Below are 19,904 nucleotides of genomic sequence, written 5' to 3'. Positions count from 1 at the left end.
TGTTGTCCTCCAAAATCATTGAGGATCAGATATATTAATGGAAGTACAGAGAGGAATTTGTTTATCCCTAGATAAAAAATGTTGCCTTTGGGTAAATCAATCAGGAAAAGTGGAAGACAATGTCAGACAGCTCCCAAACCAAGCCACTTCTAGTGTATGGAAATAAGCCTCCCAGAGTTAGTTAAATTGGGAAGGAAGCTGGAAATGGTTCGGCTGGGTTCTTCCCCTTTTAGGACCAGTTGTTAGTCTTGTACGTTTGCTCCTTTTTGGTCCATGTCTTCTAAATCAAATAACCAATTTGTTTCCTATCACCTTCAGGCCATCAAGCTCTAGAGGATCCTCAGTGAGAGATATGACCTCTCAATATTCAAGAGTCACTCATCTACAGGGGACCCTAGACTGCCCAGCAGTGAGACATGGCAGGTGAAGTCCTGCCCCTGTCTCCCTTGGACCTGACTGGATACAGCTTTCATGAACCCATGGAGCCAACCCTGCCCTGACAGCTAGCAAGAGGCCAAGACCAACAGTACAACTACAATCAGGTCTCTGTCAGCAGGAGGCAGCCATTTTCCCCAAAGAAGTGGGGTCTTTGACCCTTGAGGGGGAAAATGTTATAGTATGCCTGCTTATAGTCTGGCATAAGCAGGGCAGGAGAGGGCATCCCCCACAACCACCAGAAATGTCAAGTGACCATCAGCTGATGGTCAAGCAGTTGTTACGCTGTCCCTCTAAAACAATAATTGATTGCAGCTAGTGCCAGTAAAAGGCAGTCTCCCAATAGATAGGAAAACCTGAAACTGGTGATCATTTTCCTGATAAGATCTCAGGAATTGGATGAGTGGCCTTGATCTTACACACTAAGAGAAAAAAATGGCAGAGTTTAACCGGTATATGTTCTTCCCCTAGGAATGCGACTGTTAAGAGAAGAACACCTCAAGTGAGCATGCGCAAAATTTTGGTAAGCCCAAGGTACTGTGTGTTGGCAACTTACTGAGAATGCAGACAGCCCACCCCAAGGACAGAATGGTGGGAGAAGTAACACAAGACCCTGGAAGCATGTCGGTGTATAAAACCCCAAATCAAAAGGTCAAACTGCAAACTTGATTTCTGAAGTAACTTGCTTGGCCCTCTTCCGAGTGTACTTTACTTTTTTCATTCCTGCTCTAAAGCTTTTTAATAACCTTTCACTTCTGCTCTAAAATTTGCCTTGGCCTCTCCTTCTGCCTTATGCCACTCAGTCAAATTCTTTTTTCTGAAGAGGCAATAATTGACATTGCTGCAGAACTGTATGGATTCACCACCAGTAACACACTTAACTTCATATTGCATAATATTTCACTTATTTATTTATTTCACTTATTTAATTTATTGTCAACCTCTCTCTCCCCCCATTAGAATGTAAGCTTGAGTAGACCAAAAAAATTGTCTGTGAGTACATAGTTTTGTTCCTAGCACTTTAAAAAATGCCTGGTACATAGTAGAAGTTCTATAAAATTTTTTTAATAAATATTTCTGAATGAATTTTTTGGATAACTGACAAACAATTTAGAAATAATTTTCATGGTAGTAAAGAGTTTCTCACACAGATGCTGAATGTTGGCATAACAGTTGCAATTTATGATTTTAAAAATATAATTGAACAATTAACACTTTGTGCTGGAGTAGCCTCATCCTTATTCTTGCATCTGTTGTCTACACTTCCCCATGACCAATCTCCTCAGTTTCCCTCTTGTTAACTTTTGGATAGCATCAGAAAATCCTCCCTCTACTCTGGTTTGGGTATAGACATCCTCCAGGCAAAAGGCTATTTCTGCCAGAAGTTATCACTTTAGCTGTGGAGTATAAGAAGCATGATAGGAATATCAGCTTTTTGCCAAGTTTCCCAATGTCCTAGAGGAACATGCTCACTGTTACCAAGTTATCCACAGGGTAAATAAAATGTGTGAGGGCCAAATAGAAAAGGGAAATGGAAGCAAACCTTTACTGAAGAAGTTAGCCAAGAATTTGTTTTCATTAGGTACCATTATTTCTGATATTTACCAAAACTACTTGGTATAAATAAATACGCTCACTCTAAGCACACTCTGTGTAAATTATTGTATGGATAATTTAAGTAACAATTTTTTGAAAAGAGAAAGAAAACGTCTGCTTCTCCTGTCAGTCAGAGTCCACTTTAGATTGATATAACTTTCCAAATAATTACTGCTTTGGGGTAACTAGAGCAGCATAAAATTGTCTTAGTTCTTTACTATCACTTTTTATCTTGCTCTTATTTTTAAAATAGACTCAGCAATTTTGTGCTTGATTTTCCTTGGTAGGACCTATTATTAATTACATTTTTATTATTTCACTAGAAGTCACCTCCACTTTAATCATTAAGCCTGTGATTAACAAAATTTAATCACCAGAGTGTAATGTTTGGAGTTAAAGAACTTAGATCTGTGAAGAAAATTAAGTAACACATGTCACTTCATTGTATTCATGTTACTAAGTGACTATACAATAAGTTTTGGAAGTATAATAAATTGTATACCGTCTGAAGATATGCTTTTATTGATGTTTTGCTTTAGAAATTGCATGAATCTTTGGGTATTTCTTATATTGATTTGTTAACATTATTGTGCTCAAGTAATTAAAGTCAGAGTTCAACAAGTGTTTCATCCAAATTGCATAAATTGATTCCAGGAGATAATTGGAATTCTATGGCTCCAATTGATACAGTGTTTACTTGAGTTTCTTATTCTGTGCAGAGAGATAATTGAATCATGTAGCTCTCCATGGATTTAATTTTAATTTTAATTTTTACCAAAGTATTGTTTATATGCAGTTTTAAAAGGCAGAATACTTTTGGGCTCCAAAGAAAGAAACAACAGCAACAAAAACACAATATCCTGCGCTAAAGTACACAATCATATTTCGAACTGCAGAGGAAACCGCTTTCAATTCTTTAACTGTTTTGATATGAACATAGCTTTTCATGACCTACTGTATTCTACTATTGAAGGGTTAAATTCCCTTAAATTTCTTGCTGAAAAAAGATAGTTGGAGATAAGTTTTTGAAATCTTGAGAATCTGAAAACAACTCTCAAAATATTCTGTCTTCACAGTTGATTGGTAGAGTGGCTGGATTTAGACTTTTCAGTCACAAATACATTTTTCTTAGATTTTTTTTTTAAAGGCATTACTCATTAGACTTCCAGCTACTTTTGCTGCTATGAAGAAGTCTGATGTCATTTTCCTTCTGGTCCTTCATATGCAAAAGTGAATTAGTTTTCTCTTGATTTGGAATATTTTGGGATTTTTTAAAATCCCTCTTGTTTTGCTGTCTCACACATAGTGTGTTCTTTGTGCATGTGTGTGTTTCCTCACTTATTGTTCTGAATATTTGACACATTTTTATATAAAAACTTATTTTCTTTAATTCTGGAATTCTATTTTTATGTAATTATACTCTCTAATTTTCTCTTTTTTCCCTGTCTGTAACTTATGTTGGTTGACCTAGCTGTATTATGTAATTTCTTATTATTTTTCTGTTACTCTCTAATAGTCTTTTTCTAATTTTCTTTATGTGATATTTACTCCAATTCATTTTAAAAATATTTTGATTCAATGATTTTTTTTACATTTCCAAATACTATTTATTATCTTAATTTTTAAAAAAGAATAAGCTGTTATTGTATTAGGACAAGATATATTTTTATTTTTCTGAATCTACTAACCATCGATTTTTATTGCTATTGATTTATTATCTCTTTGTCTTTTTAAATTTTTACTTTTTTCCTTTAGTATTAGAAGTTGTCAAGTATATCTTGATCTTTTGTTTACTGAGGTATCTCCAGTTTCTAAAACTGTTTGGGTCAACAAATACCTGGTGAATTAATAAATGGATGAATATTTGGCAATCTTGCTTATTTCAGAAGGAGATACTGAAAATCTAAAATAATTCCTATGAGCATGAGACAACCCTGCCAACATCTCAGTTTTGCTGTGGAGTGGTCAAAAAGAGAGAGACCTGGGCCACTTCGTTTGATGACCCTCAAACATAAGTATCTGTGCACTTTCGTTAGGGGAGCCTGTTCTCAAAAGTGATCTCTAAATCTCTGATTTGATGGGAGTGGGGGTAGGTAATGCTGTCTTCTAAAATTTATAGCCTTAGTGAGGACAATATGCTAGAGGGTCTTATTTTTCATTATTCAGACTTTTACTTCCAGTGTTTTCAGGATGGTGACTCGATCCTAATGTACTGTACAGAATGCATCTCCCTAAATACAGTGTCTCTGGTTCAGTCTCTTCAGGGGGTAAAACCCCATTGCCTGCTGGGCTGCAGTGAGGTGGTTTGCACTACGGGTTGGGTGAGAGAGGAGATCTAGTAATTACACTGCTTATTACTTCCACTTTCAACTAATCCTTACACAGATCTCAGTACCACTTCTCAACCTATCCTCAGAGTAGGTTGCAAGACTTAACATAAAAAATTTGAGGATGCTCAGTCATATGTGAATTTCAGATAGAGTGATTTTGTTTCAGCATAAGTATATCTCATGCAATATTTAGGATATAGTGTTCTAAAAAATGTTCTTTCATTTTCAAATGTAATTGTGTGTCTTTTTTTTTTTTTTTTTTCTTGAGATAGAGTCTCACTCTGTTGCCCGGGCTGGAGTGCAATGGTTCGATCTCAGCTCACTGTGACTTCCACCTCCCAGGTTCAAGACATTCTCCTGTCTCAGCCTACTGAGTAGCTGGGATTATAGGCATGAACAACCGTGCCCAGCCGTGTCTTCTCTTTTACCTGGCAACCCTACTAGAGGTACTAGTTGCCTTCAGTTTCAATCTTTTCTTGATTACTTTTGTGATGCATTGAATTAAATTTGATTAGCCATCCTTAACACAGCATCTAGATTCAGCTTTTTCCACTATGCAAATCAGGTAGTATAGTCATTCATACTCTTTCCATCTTCTAAAGTATTGTTGATGTATTTCACCTGCTTTCTTTTGCTCTCTATTCTCTATGTGTTAGAGAATATGTACCTTCTTATTTATTTACTGTCTTTTTGTTGGAATTTTTGGAGGGAGTGACAACAAAAAATGTGTTTCATATGACAACATGAACTGACAGTCATTGTAATTATTTTTTAAATGTGAGATTTTGTTTCTAAGATGTTCCTTCACATACAATTTGGCATTCTCTGGAATAGTTGTCTAATAGTAAATGAATAAAGAGAACTAACATTTTACAGTGTGAAGGTTTTTCTTTAATGCATATTGTAAAATAATTCCAGCCTATGGAAAACTTGCTTTTATATCCAATTAAACTAGTTGAAGGAAATAATTAAATACTTACAATTGATGAAGTTGTTTAAGTAAGTTTGATATGGATCACAAAATTACATGGTGTATATGTGAGGACAATAGAAATAGTCATCATGTGCCTTCTTCTTTTGATACAAATAAGGATGCAATCAACAGTTTCAAACTTAAAGTCATGATGGATTTCACATGCCAAAAAGATCTTAACAACAGAATTAGCTTCTCACATATTTGCACCTAATAAACTCAAATATACCTAAGCATTTTTAGTAAATGAAATGCAAAGATAGTTTTATTTGCCTCAAGGAGACATTACAGTACATGCTCCAAAAGATAAATGACAGGACTTGAAACACAGCGTAAGATTAAGCATTTGTCAAATCAAAATTGAAGGCAACAGACAGTAAATTGGATTTTCTTTTACAATAACAGGTAGTTCACCTTCTATTAATGTAACAAATATTATAATATATACATTATAACATCATATTTTTTATTTGTTTTGGTTGCTGGAATTTTAAAAATAAGTTGGGTCTCTATTGTTGCTGTACCACAATTCACTGTTAAGCATGCTAAGTTTGTTTCTTAAGGCTATGTTTTTCCCCACAGAAAATATTAGCCATCAACTGTCATCTCAAATGCAGAATAAATAGCACTATTGGCACTCAATTCAGGTTCAAAGGAGATTGAATTATGTGATGTTGAGCCTGCTAGAGGTACTAATCATCTCTGAGAGACCAACTGTTCTCAACTTCAAAGATGGACACAACTTAAGTATTTCATTATATCATTTTTTTTCTGCAGACAATAAAGAATAAATGTAAAAATAAGGAAAAGAATAATACTGCCATTCAAATCAAATTATAGAATGTATCTCATAAGCCAGATGATATTAAAAATTCATACAGTTAAGTTAAAATGCATTTTCCTTAGGAATTTTATAAAATTTATATATTTTTTTGTTTTTTGATAAAAAGATGCTAACTGCTCTCTGATCAGTGATGGCAAACATGTAATGATTCTCAGCCCTTCTAGGAAGAAAAAAATGCAGTTATCCAGGGATTGTGTTCTTAAGCTACTGTGAGGTATTTGATATGAAAAATTATAAAAATTGAAATAGTGCCAGTGCTAAAAGCTAGAAGCACAATCTTTATGGGGTTATTTGTGTTTTTGTTTTTATTTAGTTTCAAGTTTATAATCATGCAAAAGCAGCATTCAGAAGGAACTGTACATTGAGCACAATCATTCTGTTTTTCACTTTCAGTACAGTATTCAATAAATTACATGAGATGTTTAACACTTTATTATATAATACACTTTGTGTTAGATGATGTTGCCCAACTATAGACTAATATAAGTGTTATGAGCATGTTTAAGGTAGGCTGGGTTAACAGTAATGTTCAGTAGGTTAGGTGTGTTAAATTGACTTTTATATGTATTATTTTATATGTATTATTTTACATAACTCTCACATTCCTGAACACATGGTAGATATTTCTACTGCCATTTTACAGACCAGAACAAACAAAATTTGAGAGGTTAATTAGCATATCAATTTTTAGCCATTAATAAGTGCCACAGAAGGAGTCTGAGGTCATGACAGACTGGCTTGAAATACATGCTTGTCCACTATAATACATCAACTCACATGTAGAATATGGTTCAATCAATCATCCATTCATTTTATTTTAAAATGGACATTTATAAGTATTTAAATGTTCACCTGCTACAAAATTAATAAGGATGTTTTTGTATTTATCTGAAAGCCTTTTAGATAGTGTTTTTAATGTTTGGAATATTGAGATGTTTTAAATAATCCTGAAAAGAATAAATTTATCCATTAACTGAAGAGCTAATCTTAACATGGAAGAAACAGATAAATATTAGATACATAGATAGATAGATAGATAGATAGATAGATAGATACAAACAGAGAGAGAAATTGAAGATATTTGGAGTTACCATGATGATTCAGGAGACAAATATTATCATGAAATAAATTTGCCTCTATAGTGCCTCTTCCAGAGATGTTAAGTAAAGTTTTAAAGTACTTTACAGGATTAATTACTTTTAACATTACTTTTGAATATGACATCATTTTGTGACTAACTAGGAGGAGACACAGATTTAATTAGGGTAATATTGAGTACTTATTAGATGCCAAGCATAATCTTAGATGTTAAGAATAGAAAGATAAAACAAAAACAAAACAAATAAGCTGTTCCTTAATGAAGATTCAGTGTAGTAGGGGAGGAATACAATAAACAAATATAATTTGAAGGAAAGAAGGGAGATAATTGTATGTAACAGTAGAATCATTGAGTAGGCAGAATGACCCATTAAAAATTGATGAAGTTTATCTTAAATAATGGCAAGGCAGTTCATCTTTTTTAATTCAAGAGAGGCAGAATACATATGTGTAGTGCATATCAATAGTAGGAGGATGCAGAAGGTAACATATTGATTATTTGATCTCTTTGAATTTCTAAGCAAGGTCATTAGCTGAGTAATGGGTGCAAGCGGTACTAGAAGTTCACAGCAAGAAATAATATGAAAACCATGGTTTGGAAAAGGGGAAAGTAAATTTGCTAGTGGCATAACATGAAATTTCTATTAAAATATCAGGAATATTTTTTTCTGAGCTGACTAATTCCTATCTAAGTTTAAATTCATATTTCTAACTCTAAAACTGCCATTCCAATTTGTACCAATAGTTACATGCGGCCATTGAGCATTTAAAATGTAACTATTTTGCATTATATGCTTTTGTCTCTCTGTGTGTGTGTGTGTTTGTGTGTGTGCACATTTGCACACTTTGTGTTTTATGGACAGAGAGAATTCAGTTATCAGGCACATTGTATGCATATTGCATTATATTCAAGTTATACATGGGAGGTTATTTTGAATCAGGGTAAAATTTTAGAGACAACATGTGAGGAGATCAGTGATTTAGAAATTTGAAACACACACATCCACACACAGGCACAAGAAAGGGTGAAAAGCTGGCATTGATAAATTTATCGCGTGCTTTACAATGTGTTGGATACTTTAAGTAGCGTGTTCCATTTATAGTCACAACTCTTGAAATAAGCATTGTTATTCCCCTTTTTTTAAAAAAGAATGTAAAAACTGAAGTTAATTAAGAAGCATACTGCCAAGAAAGTAGCAAATCCAACAGTCAAAACCAGCTCTGTCTTCTTTCAAAGAGTGAACTATTTCACAAAGCAAAATTATTTTCCATAAAAACAAGAGTTAAAGGTTTTTAGAAGTGAAAGCTTTCCAGAAACAAGCCTCTCTAAAATCCCAGGGTATCTCATGAATCAAGTACATAGGTCTCACTTGGGGGCCCCAAAGTTTTTCCTGTATTACCTAGTCCCATGTTTTCCTATGACCTCTATTATAGAGGTAACATAACACAAAAACCTTAGGAATAATATCAGCAAGTTGTAGGAATAAAAGGTTACCCACTTGTATCCCTCCAACAACAGTATTTTGGCAGCAAACCATAGACACATGTGGCTTTGTGAGAGCTTTGGTATCGAGATAAGAGGCTGCAAAACACTGATGAAGCCCAAGACCAAATAAAATTGTTTTGAGAAGTAAGGCCAGTGCCTAGGTGCCAGGCTTACTGGCTGTGGTCCCAACTACAGACCCAGAAACAGCCATGTCCCCCTGTGGACTTGGTTACAGTCCCATTTGGCCTTGGTCCTGCCACCAACACCATCTATCCAGGGATCAAGAAGGAGCCACACCTACCCATGCCTCAGGCCTACTGACCTCAGTACGAGCTGTGGACCCTGATGCAGCCTGTAACCTGGCTCAGGCTCTGATAGCTGCAGTCCAGGAACAGTCTTGGCCACCCAGGGACTGGTGAAACACATGCCTACCTTTTCCCAGGAAGACAGGCAAACTGACTTTGGTCTAGCTACAGATCCTAAAATGAACCTGTTACTGAGGTCCAGCCCCTCTCAGACATGGTCAAGGGTCAGTCCTGCCTGCCCAGCAACTTAGTGGGAGACATGCCTGTTTGTGCTATCAAAGGTAGGCTACCAGCCTCAATATGACTGTGGATCCTGAAGTGGCCATATGACTTAGTTTTAGCCTCAAGCATCTGTAGCACAGGAGTAGTCTCACGTGCCCAGTAATCCACCCATTGACCCAGTGGGAGATTTCCAGGGACCTATTGGAAGCTACACTTGCCCACAGACTTGGTAATAGACCCCATCATCTGTGAACCTAATTGCAGATCATGAGGTGAACCCTTGCCCAGTGCCAGAGCCACTGACCAAGATTAATGAGACACTCCTGTCTGTCTAAAGACCAAGCAGAATCCACACTCACCGAAGCACCTGGTAACAACATATGAATCATGGACCCCATTGCAAACGTAGGAGCAGCTATATGACTTGGTTTCAATGCTGATTGACTGCAATCCCTAGGGACTCAACAGGAGGTCATTGCCTGCTGAAACCAGACTGTAAAGACTGGAAGAGGTGAATGTTCCTTTTAATGCATAGACATCAGTACAAGGCTACACAGATGATAAAGAACTGGTCAAACAAGGCATCACCAAAGGAAATTAATAAGGCATCAATGAACAATCCCAAAGAAATGGAGATCTATAAGTTGCTTGAGAAATAATTAAAAATAATCATCCAAAGGAAGCTCAAGAAGATGTAAGAGAACACATATAGACAACTAAATAAAACCTCAAAAATAATATATGGGCTAAATAATAAGCTTAATAAAGATTTAGAAACCGTAAAAATGATTAATCAGATATCCTGAAGCTGAAGAATATAATAACAAAACTGAAAAATTCAGTAAACAGCTTTGACAGAAGACTCAATCATGCAGAGGAAGAACTGGCAAACTTGAAAACAGGCCACTGGGAATTACCAAGTTAGAAGAAAAAAATATTAAAGAGTAAAGAAATCATATAGTACCAATGGTATACCGTCATACAAACAAGTATATATGTTATTAGAGTTCCACAGAAGAAGAGAGAAAGAGAAAAAAAAAAAAAGACTAAAACTTTCCAAATTTGGGGAGGCATATAACATCCAGACTCACAAAGCTCAAGGGGTCTCTGGCAAGATCAATACAAACATTACCAGGGGATAAATTATTAACAAATTGCTAAAAGTGAAAGACAAACTTTAAAGCAGCAAGAGAAAAGAGTGTGGTCGCACACAAGTTAACTACTGTCACATAAGTCTACTAGTGGACTTCTTAGCAGAAATCTTGCCAGCCAGGAGGGAGTGGAATTACATATTCAATGTACTTAAAGGAAAAAAAAATGGTTGACTAAGATTACTATACCCAGTAAATCTTTCTTTTGGAAATTAGGAAGAGATAAAAAAAATTCCCAGTCAAACAAAATCTGAGGAAGCTAATTACAGCTAGGTCAGCTTTACCAAAAAACGCTAAAGGGAGTTCTTCAAGTTAAAATAAAAGAGTAGTAAGTATCAACATGAACATGTAAGAAAATATAAAGCTTGCTGTTAAAGATAAATATAGAGTTAAATTCAGATTACTCAACTATTATAGTGGTAGAAAGTGAATTACTTTTAACTCTAGTATAAAAGTTAAAAGACAAATTTATTAAAAATAACTATAGCTACAACAATTTGTTAATGGATACATAATTTTAAAAGATACAAAGGGTAACAATACTAGCATATATGTGGTGGCAGAGAAGTGCAAGTGAGGTTTTTGTATGTGATTAAACTTAAGTTGTTATCAGCTTAAAATAGACTATTACTATAAGATATTTTTAATGTAAGCTTCATATGTAAGCTTATATGTAAGCTTCATATATACACAGAAGATAAATAGAAAAGAACTTAAATATGCCAACAAAAATGCAAGCAAATACCAGAGAAAGCAAGAGCAAAAGAAAGGAACAAAGAACTACAAAATGGTTAGAAAAAATTAAAATGTAAATTGAATAAATTTTTAATCAAAAGGTACAGAGTTTCTGAATAGGTAAAAATCAAAATAAACATGATAGAATAATATACTCCACACAAGAGGCTTCTTTTAGCATTAAAGACACACATCAGGCTGAAAGTGAAGAAAATAAAAAATATATTTTATGCAAATAGAAACAAATAGAGAGCAGGGATAGTTATGCTAAGACAAAATAAACTTAACTCAAAAACTGTAAAAACAGACAAAAGAAAGTCATTTTGCAATAATTAGGGTTCAATTCATCAAAAGGATTTAACACTTGTAAATCTGCAAGAACCTAATATTGGAGAACTTAAATATATAAAGTAAATATTAGTAGAGTACAAGGGAGAGATATATAAGAATAAAATAACAGCAGATGACAGCAATACCCCACTTTTAGCTATGGACAGATCATGGAGATAGAAAACCAAGAAGGAAACATTGGAGAAGAACTACATTTTAGATGAATAGACCTTATAGACATATATACAATATTACATATGACAGCAACAGAATACACATTCTTCTCTAGCTCACATAGAACATTCTCAAGGATAGATCACATGTTAGGCCACAAAACAAGTCAGCATAAATTTTAAAAGATTGAAGTCTTTTAAAAAGAAACGTTAAGTTTCTTTTTTGATCATACTGTTATAAAAGTAGAAATAAATACCACGACGAAAACTGGAAAATTCACAAATATATGAAATTTACACAGCATTATCCTGAACATGAATATACAAGAAAATATAAAACTCACTGTTAAGGTAAATATGGAGTCAAAGAAATCCAATATGCCAAAGAAAAATTAGAAAACAAATTAAATATATCTTGAAACAAACAGAAATAGAAAGAAAGCATAGTAAAACTTATGGGATGGAGCAAAAGCAGTTCCAAGAGGGAAGATTTTAGCAATAAATGCCTATATTGAGAAATAAAAAAGACCTCAAATAAACAACCTAACTGTATACCTCAAGGAATTGAAAAAAAAATCAGTACAAAGTAGGAGAAAGAAAGTAATGACTATAGAAGAATACAGAAGAAAATAATAATATTATAGCAGAATAAATGAAATACAGGCCTACAAATACAATTTTTAAAAATCAATAAAACTAAGAGTTGTTTTTTTGAAAAGATACAAAAAAATAAATTTTTATGTGGACATACTCAAATAAAATCTTAAGTGAAAGAGGAGACATTATCATTGATGTAAAAGAAATACAAATGATCATAAAAACTACTATGTATAACTATATGCCAAAAATTCAATATACTAGAAGAAATAAATTCTTAGAAACATACAGCTTACCAAGATGAAATCACAAAGAAACAGAAAACCGCAGAGCGAATAAACAGTAAGGCAATTGAAGCAGTAATCAAAAGCCTCATAACAAAGACAAGTCAAGCACCAACCAGCTTAGCAGGTGAATTTTACCAAGCGTTTAAAGAAGAATGAATGCTAGTTCTTCTCAAATTCTTCAAAAAAATGGAATAAAAGGAAATACTTCCAAACTCATTAGATGAGACTAGAACTACCCTGATACAAACACCAGAAAATGGTACTACAAAAAAAGAAAATTGCAGGCCAATATCCATGATGAACATAAATGCATAAATTCTCAACTAAATATTAGCAAATGAAATTCAATCCCATGGTAAAAGGACTATACATCGTGGTCAAGTAGAATTTGATGCAATTTCCATGTCTTTCCATGCAAGAATGACTCAGCATATGCAAATCGACACATGTGACCCACCACATTAACAGAGTAAAGGATAAAAATAATATGATTTATATTAAGAGATGCAATACAAGCATTTGATAAAATGTATCACCCCTTTTTTATAAAAAACTCTCAACAAATCAGTTATAGAAGGAATTAACTTTAACTTAATAAAGGCTATATGACAAGCCCATAGCTAACGTCATACTTACTGGTGAAAAGATGATCTATTTTCCTCCAAAACCAAAAATAATACATGGATGCCCACACTTAACACTTTTGTTCGACATACTACTAGAGGTCACAGCCAAATTCAATTAGACAAGAAAAAGAAAGGAAAGATATCCAAATTATAAAGGAAGAAGTAATTTTTTTCTGTGTTTAGGGATGACATAATTGAATATATTTTAAACCCTAAAGCTCCCACAAAATAACTATTAGAACAAATAGGCCAGGCACGGTGGCTCACGCCTGTAATCCCAGCACTTTGGGAGGCCAAGGCGGGTGGATGACAAGGTCAGGAGATTGAGACCATCCTGGCTAACATGGTGAAACCTCGTCTCTACTAAAAATACAAAAAAAAAAAAAAAAAAAATAGCCAGGCTGGGTGTGGTGGCATGTGCCTATAGTCCCAGCTACTTGAGAGGCTGAGGCAGGAGAATGGCATGAACCCAGGAGGCAGAGCTTGCAGTGAGTCAAGATCAGGCCACTGCACTCTAGCCTGGGCAACAGAGCAAGACTGTCAAAAAAAAAAAAAAGAACAAATAAATTCAGTAAAGTTGCAAGACACGAAATCAACAAGCAAGATTCAGTAGTATTTCTATATACTAATAACAAAGTATCAGAAAAGGAAATTAGAAAAACAAATTTATTTTCAAAAGCATCTAAAGAATAAAATATTTGGGAATAAATTTAACCAAGGAAGTTAAAGATCTGTATGCTAAAAACTATAAGACTTACTGAAAGAAACTGAAGAAGACACAAAAACAAAAAGATATGTTCTTTACATGAACTGGAATAATTAATACTATTAAAATGTCCATGCTGCCTAAAGTGATCCACAGATTCAGTGCAATCCCTATCAAAATTTCAATATTTTTTAACAAAAAGAAAAAAAAAATCTTAAAATCCATATGGAACTACAAAAGACCCTGAGTAAGCAAAGCAATCTTTAGCCAGAAGACTTCATACTTCCTGATGTCAAACTACATTACAAAACTCTAGTATTCAAAACAGCATGATACCAGCACAAAAAACAGCATATAGAACAATGGGCCAGAATTGCTAGCCCAGAAATAAGTCTATGCACATATGGTTAACTAATCTTTGACAAAGGTGCCAAGAATGCACAATGAAGAAATGATAGTCTCTTCAATAAATGGTAGAGGGAAAACTTGATATCCACATGCAAAAGAATAAAATTGGACTTTTATCTTTCACTGTACACACACATTAAATGAATTATAAATTTAAATGGAAGCCTTAAAGCCATAAAACTACTAGAAAAAAGTAGGGGAAAACTCCTTGAGATTGGTCTTTAAAATGATGTATTAGATATGACACCAAAAGCACAGGCAGCAAGTGCAAAAATAAAATGGGGTTATTTCAAACTAATAAGCTTCTGCACAGTAAATGAAACAACCCACATAGTGAAAATACAACCTATGGAATGGGAGAAAATATTTGAAAACCATGTGTCTAATAAAGGCTAAAACTCAATTCAGAATTCAACTCAGAAGCAAAAATCCCCAAAAATAACACAATTTTCAAAAAGGCAAAGGATCTTAATAGACATTTTTTAGAAGAAGATGTACAAATGGCCAAAAGGTATATGAAAAAGTGTTCAGTATTACTAATAATCAGGTAAATGCACATTAAAACCACAATCAGATATCACTTCTGATATATTAGGATGATTAGTATTAGAAAAGCAAGAGATAAGAAATGTTAGTGAGGATAGGCTGGGCTCAGTGGCCCACGCCTGTAATCCCAGCACTTTGGGAGGCCAAGGCGGGCGGATCACAAGGTCAGGAGTTCAAGACGAGCCGGGCCAACCCATGTGGTGAAACCGCATCTCTACTAAAAATACAAAAATTAGCCAGGTGTGGTGGTGAACGCCTGTAGTTCCAGCTACTCAGGAGCTGAGGCAGGAGAATTGCTTGAACCTGGGAGGCAGAGGTTGCAGTGAGCCAAGATTGCTGCCACTGCACTCCAGCCCAGGTGACAGAGCGAGACTCCATCTCAAAAAAAAAAAAAAAAAAAAGACAACAGTAGCTGTGAAGGTTTATTATATAGGTAAAATTCATGACACAGGGGTTTGCTATACAGATGAGAAATTTTATATACTTTTGATGAGAATGTAAATTTGTGTAGATATTATAAAAACTAGTATGAAGTTACCTTAAAAAATTAGTAAACTTCATATGATCCAGCAATCTCACTTCTGAGTATACATTCAAAGGTATTGATATAAGTATCTCAAAGAGATATTGGCACTCTCATCTTCGTAGCACGATTATTAGCAATTGTCAGGATATGAAAGCAATCTAAGTGTCTGTCATTGGAACAATGGATAAGGAAAATGTGAGATATATATATATAATTAAATGTTTGTTATTCACCCTTAAAAAAGGAAATTCTATCATTTGCGACATGAATATACCTAGAAGACATGTTCTACATAAAATAAACCAGACATAGAAAGATAAATATTGTATGATCTCATATGTGGAGTCTAAAAAAGTCAAACTCATAGAAACAGTAAGTAAAATATCAGTTTCTAGGGATGGGAAGTGGTTGTAGGAGGGATGACAAAGTTGGGCAGGGGAGATAATGATCAAAGGGTACAAAGCTTCAGTTACAACATAAATAAGTTCTGGGGATCTAATATACAGTATAGTGACTATAGTTCATAATATTATATTGCATATTTCAAATTTGCATCGAGAGTAGATATCAAGTGTTCTCACCACACACAAAAAGATAACTATGTGAGGTGATGGATGCGTTAATTAGTTCCATTGCTATAATAATTTAAGTGTTTACATATATAAGGTCATCACATCTTACACCTTTAATATATACAATTTCTATTCATCAATTGTACCTCAATGAAGATAGAAAAGAAAACACACGATTTCTGAATTGTCTTCAGAGACATTTGCAAAACAAATAGCATTCAGGGCATAGGAGCAAGTTCTTGTTAGAGCAATTGTAATCCCTTGGGCATGGGCTTTTTTGGATGACTGAGTCATGAACTTGGCCAAGCCCTCACACAGAGTTCAAAACAACTGTTCTTTGAAGTGGTGGATTTTCAAGAACATTTCTTCCTTCATTTATAGGCTTTCAGAGATAAAAATCTGTTGGATGACGTGCAGCTTACCCTTTCAAAGTTCCTTAAGGACCCTGGGGAATGCAGCCATCTGGAATTTGCTGTCATGCTGTGATTTCTGCAGGTTTGTTTAACTTTTAATCTCTCTAGTCACATCTTTTATTATTCACTCTGTGCATAATTTTTGCATTATATAGTACTTTTTTAAGCAGTGAGCTAAAATTGCTCAATTTAATCACAAATGTGGCTCTGAAAGACTTAATGTCTTAAAAGTTATTTCCCTCTTTTCTCATGTTGAAAAAAAAATATGGCTGTACCAGATTTGCTGCTCACAAATCAATCCCATCCTTCTAAAGAATGCAGCATAAAGCAGAATTTAATGAGAGCTAGGTACTTTTAGAATTAATTACTAGCATTTAAGATAGCTTTGATTTCTCTATTTATTTGCTATCTGTATTTTTGTGGGTGTTAAAGCCCATTTATTTTAGCTGTTTCTCATATTTCTAAACCACAGAATATTAAGACCAGAAAAAGTTTTCAGTTTACATAATTATGGACAGGATATCTACTCTAAACATGAGTTTCCTAAAGATTAATTCACTACCAGGTAACCTGTTTGCCTAAAACTCAATCCTTTTACAAAATTTTGGCACATTTTGTTTCTCTTTTCTTTATAGTAGCTTTTGTCAGGCCTCTGAGCCCAAGCTAAGCCATCATATCCCCTGTGACCTGCACGTACACATCCAAATGGCCGGTTCCTGCCTTAACTGATGACATTCCACCACAAAAGAAGAGAAAATGGCCTGTTCCTGCCTTAACTGATGACATTGTCTTGTGAAATTCCTTCTCCTGGCTCATCCTGGCTCAAAAGCTCCCCTACTGAGCACCTTGTGACCCCCACTCTGCTTGCCAGAGAACAACCCCCCTTTGACTGTAATTTTCCTTTACCTACCCAAATCCTATAAAACGGCCCCAACCCATCTCCCTTCGCTGACTCTCTTTTCAGACTCAGCCTGCCTGCACCCAGGTGAAATAAACAGCCATGGTGCTCACACAAAGTCTGTTTGGTGGTCTCTTCCCACAGATGCTCATGAAATTTGGTGCCATGACTCAGATCGGGGGACCTCCCTTGGAAGATCAATCCCCTGTCCTCCTGCTCTTTGCTCCATGAGAAAGGTCCGCCTACGACCTCAGGTCCTCAGACCACCCAGCCCAAGAAACATCTCACCATTTTCAAATCCAGTAAGCAGCCTCTTTTTATTCTCTTCTCCAACCTCCCTCACTATCCCTCAATCTCTTTCTCCTTTCAATCTTGGCGCCACACTTCAATCTCTCCCTTCTCTTAATTTCAATTCCTTTCATTTTCTGGTAGAGACAAAGGAGACACATTTTATCCGTGGACCCAAAACTCCAGCACTGGTCACAGACTAGGGAAGGCAGCCTTCCCTTGGTGTTTAATCATTGCAGGGGTGCCTCTCTGATTATTCATCAACATTTCAGAGGTGTCAGACCATGCAGGGACGCCTTCCTTGGTCCTTCACCCTTAGCGGCAAGTCCCGCTTTTCTGGGGAAGGGGCAAGTACCCCAACCCCTTCTCTCCATGTCTCTACCCCTTCTTCACCTTTCTGGGGGGCAAGAAACCCCCAACCCCTTCTCCTTCACCCTTAGTGGCAAGTCCTGCTTTTCTAGGGGAGGGGCAAGTACCCCAACCACTTATATCTCTGCACCCCGATCCCTTATTTCCGCACCCCAACCCCTTACATCTCTGTAACCCAATCCCTTATTTCCGCACCCCAACCTCTTATATCTCTGTGCCCCAATCCCTTATTTCCATGCCCCAACTTCATATCTCTGTGCCCCAACCCCTTTCCTGCTTTTCTGGAGGGTAAGAACCCCCGAACCCCTTCCCTCCATTTCTCTACTCTCTCTTTTCTCTGGACTTGCCTCTTTCACTATGGGCAACCTTCCACCCTCCATTCCTCCATCTTCTCCCTTAGCCTGTGTTCTTAAGAACTTAAAACCTCTTCAATTCTCACCTGACCTAAAATCTAAGCATCTTATTTTCTTCTGCAATGCCACTTGACCCCAATACAAACTCGACAGTTGTTCCAAATAGCCAGAAAATGGCACTTTCAATTTTTCCATCCTACAAGATCTAAATAATTCTTGTTGCAAAATGGGCAAACGGTCTGAGGTGCCTGATGTCCAGGCATTCTTTTACACATCGGTCCCTCCCTAGTCTCTGTGCCCGGTGCAACTCATCCCAAATCTTCCTTCTTTCCCTCCCGCCTGTCCCCTCAGTCGCAACCCCAAGGGTCCCTGAGTCTTTCTAATCTTCCTTTTCTACAGACCCATCTGACCTCTCCCCTCCTCCCCAGCCTGATCCTCGCCAGGCTGAGCTAGGTCCCAATTCTTCCTCAGCCTTCACTCCTCCACCCTATAATCCTTTTATCACCTCCCCTCCTCACACCCGGTCCCGCTTACAGTTTCGTTCCCTGACTAGCCCTCCCCCACCTGCCCAGCAATTTACTCTTAAAAAGGTGGCTGGAGCTAAAGGCATAGTCAAGGTTAATGCTCCTTTTTCTTTATCCTAAATCAGATAGCATTTAGGCTCTTTTTCATCAATATAAAAATCCAGCCCAGTTCATGACTTGTTTGGCAGCAACCCTGAGACACTTTACAGCCCTAGACCCTAAAAGGTCAAAAGCCCATCTTATTCTCAAAACACATTTTATTAACCAATCTGCTCCTGACATTAAATAAAACTCCAAAAATTAAATTCCAGCCCTCAAACCCCACAACAGGATTTAATTAACCTCGCCTTCAAGGTGTACAATAATAGAAAAAAGTTGCAATTCCTTGCCTCCACTGTGAGACAAACCCCAGCCACACCTCCAGCACACAAGAACTTCCAAACGTCTGAACCGCAGTGGCCAGGCATTCCTCCAGAACCTCCTCCCCCAGGAGCTTGCTACAAGTGCCAGAAATCTGACCACCAGGCCAATGAATGCCTGCAGCCCAGGATTCCTCCTAAGCCGTGTCCCATCTGTGCGAGACCCCACTGGAAATCGGACTGTTCAACTCACCTGGTAGCCACTCCCAGAGCCCCTGGAACTGTGTCCCAAGGCTCTCTGACTGACTCCTTCTCGGCTTAGCAGCTGAAGACTGACGCTACCCGATCACCTCGGAAGCCCCGTAGACCATCACGGATGCCGAGCTTCAGGTAACTCTCACAGTGGAAGGTAAGTCCGTCCCCTTAGTCAATACAGAGACTACCCACTCCACATTACCTTCTTTTCAAGGGCCTGTTTCCCTTACCTCCATAATTGTTGTAGGTATTGACGGCCAGGCTTCTAAACCCCTGAAAACTCCCCAACTCTGGTGCCAACTTGGACAACACTCTTTTATGCACTCTTTTTTCTTTATCCCCACCTGCCCAGTTCCCTTATTAGGCTGAGATATTTTAACCAAATTATCTGCTTCCCTGACTATTCCTGGACTACAGCCGCATCTCATTGCCACCCTTCTCCCCAACCCAAAGCCTCCTTCTCATCTTCCTCTCGTATCCCCCCAACTTAACCCACAAG

At 36.4% G+C, this 19,904-nt stretch overlaps 2 long non-coding RNA genes across 3 annotated transcripts, besides 1 other annotated feature; both read left to right on the top strand.

The window, feature by feature from the left end:
- The first annotated feature begins 318 nt into the window (after positions 1 to 318).
- LOC105374143 (uncharacterized) lies at positions 319 to 4,656 on the top strand. Its single transcript, XR_924561.2, has 3 exons — positions 319 to 542; positions 907 to 958; positions 4,634 to 4,656. It is a non-coding gene; the product is annotated as an uncharacterized LOC105374143 (long non-coding RNA).
- A 45-nt stretch (positions 4,657 to 4,701) lies between these two features.
- LOC105374142 (uncharacterized) lies at positions 4,702 to 17,436 on the top strand. Of its 2 annotated transcripts, none has more exons than XR_001740564.1 (3): positions 4,702 to 4,807; positions 16,328 to 16,441; positions 17,402 to 17,436. It is a non-coding gene; the product is annotated as an uncharacterized LOC105374142 (long non-coding RNA). The 2 variants fall into 2 exon arrangements; XR_924560.3 differs by lacking the exon at positions 17,402 to 17,436 and adding an exon at positions 16,995 to 17,371.
- Positions 15,979 to 17,178: an enhancer, noted in NCBI's record as "BRD4-independent group 4 enhancer chr3:145274533-145275732 (GRCh37/hg19 assembly coordinates)". NCBI's record gives its function as "activates an origin of replication core promoter dependent on BRD2, P300/CBP, MED14 and CDK7 cofactors, and independent of BRD4, by STARR-seq in HCT116 cells {active_cell/tissue: HCT116}" and the evidence as "EXISTENCE:reporter gene assay evidence [ECO:0000049][PMID:35650434]".
- Positions 17,437 to 19,904: the final 2,468 nt, after the last annotated feature.

Source organism: Homo sapiens, chromosome 3, assembly GCF_000001405.40.
Source record: "Homo sapiens chromosome 3, GRCh38.p14 Primary Assembly".
Lineage (NCBI taxonomy): Eukaryota > Metazoa > Chordata > Mammalia > Primates > Hominidae > Homo > Homo sapiens.
Note: the sequence above shows the minus strand (reverse complement) of the source record. Positions and strands in the feature narration are given on the sequence as shown.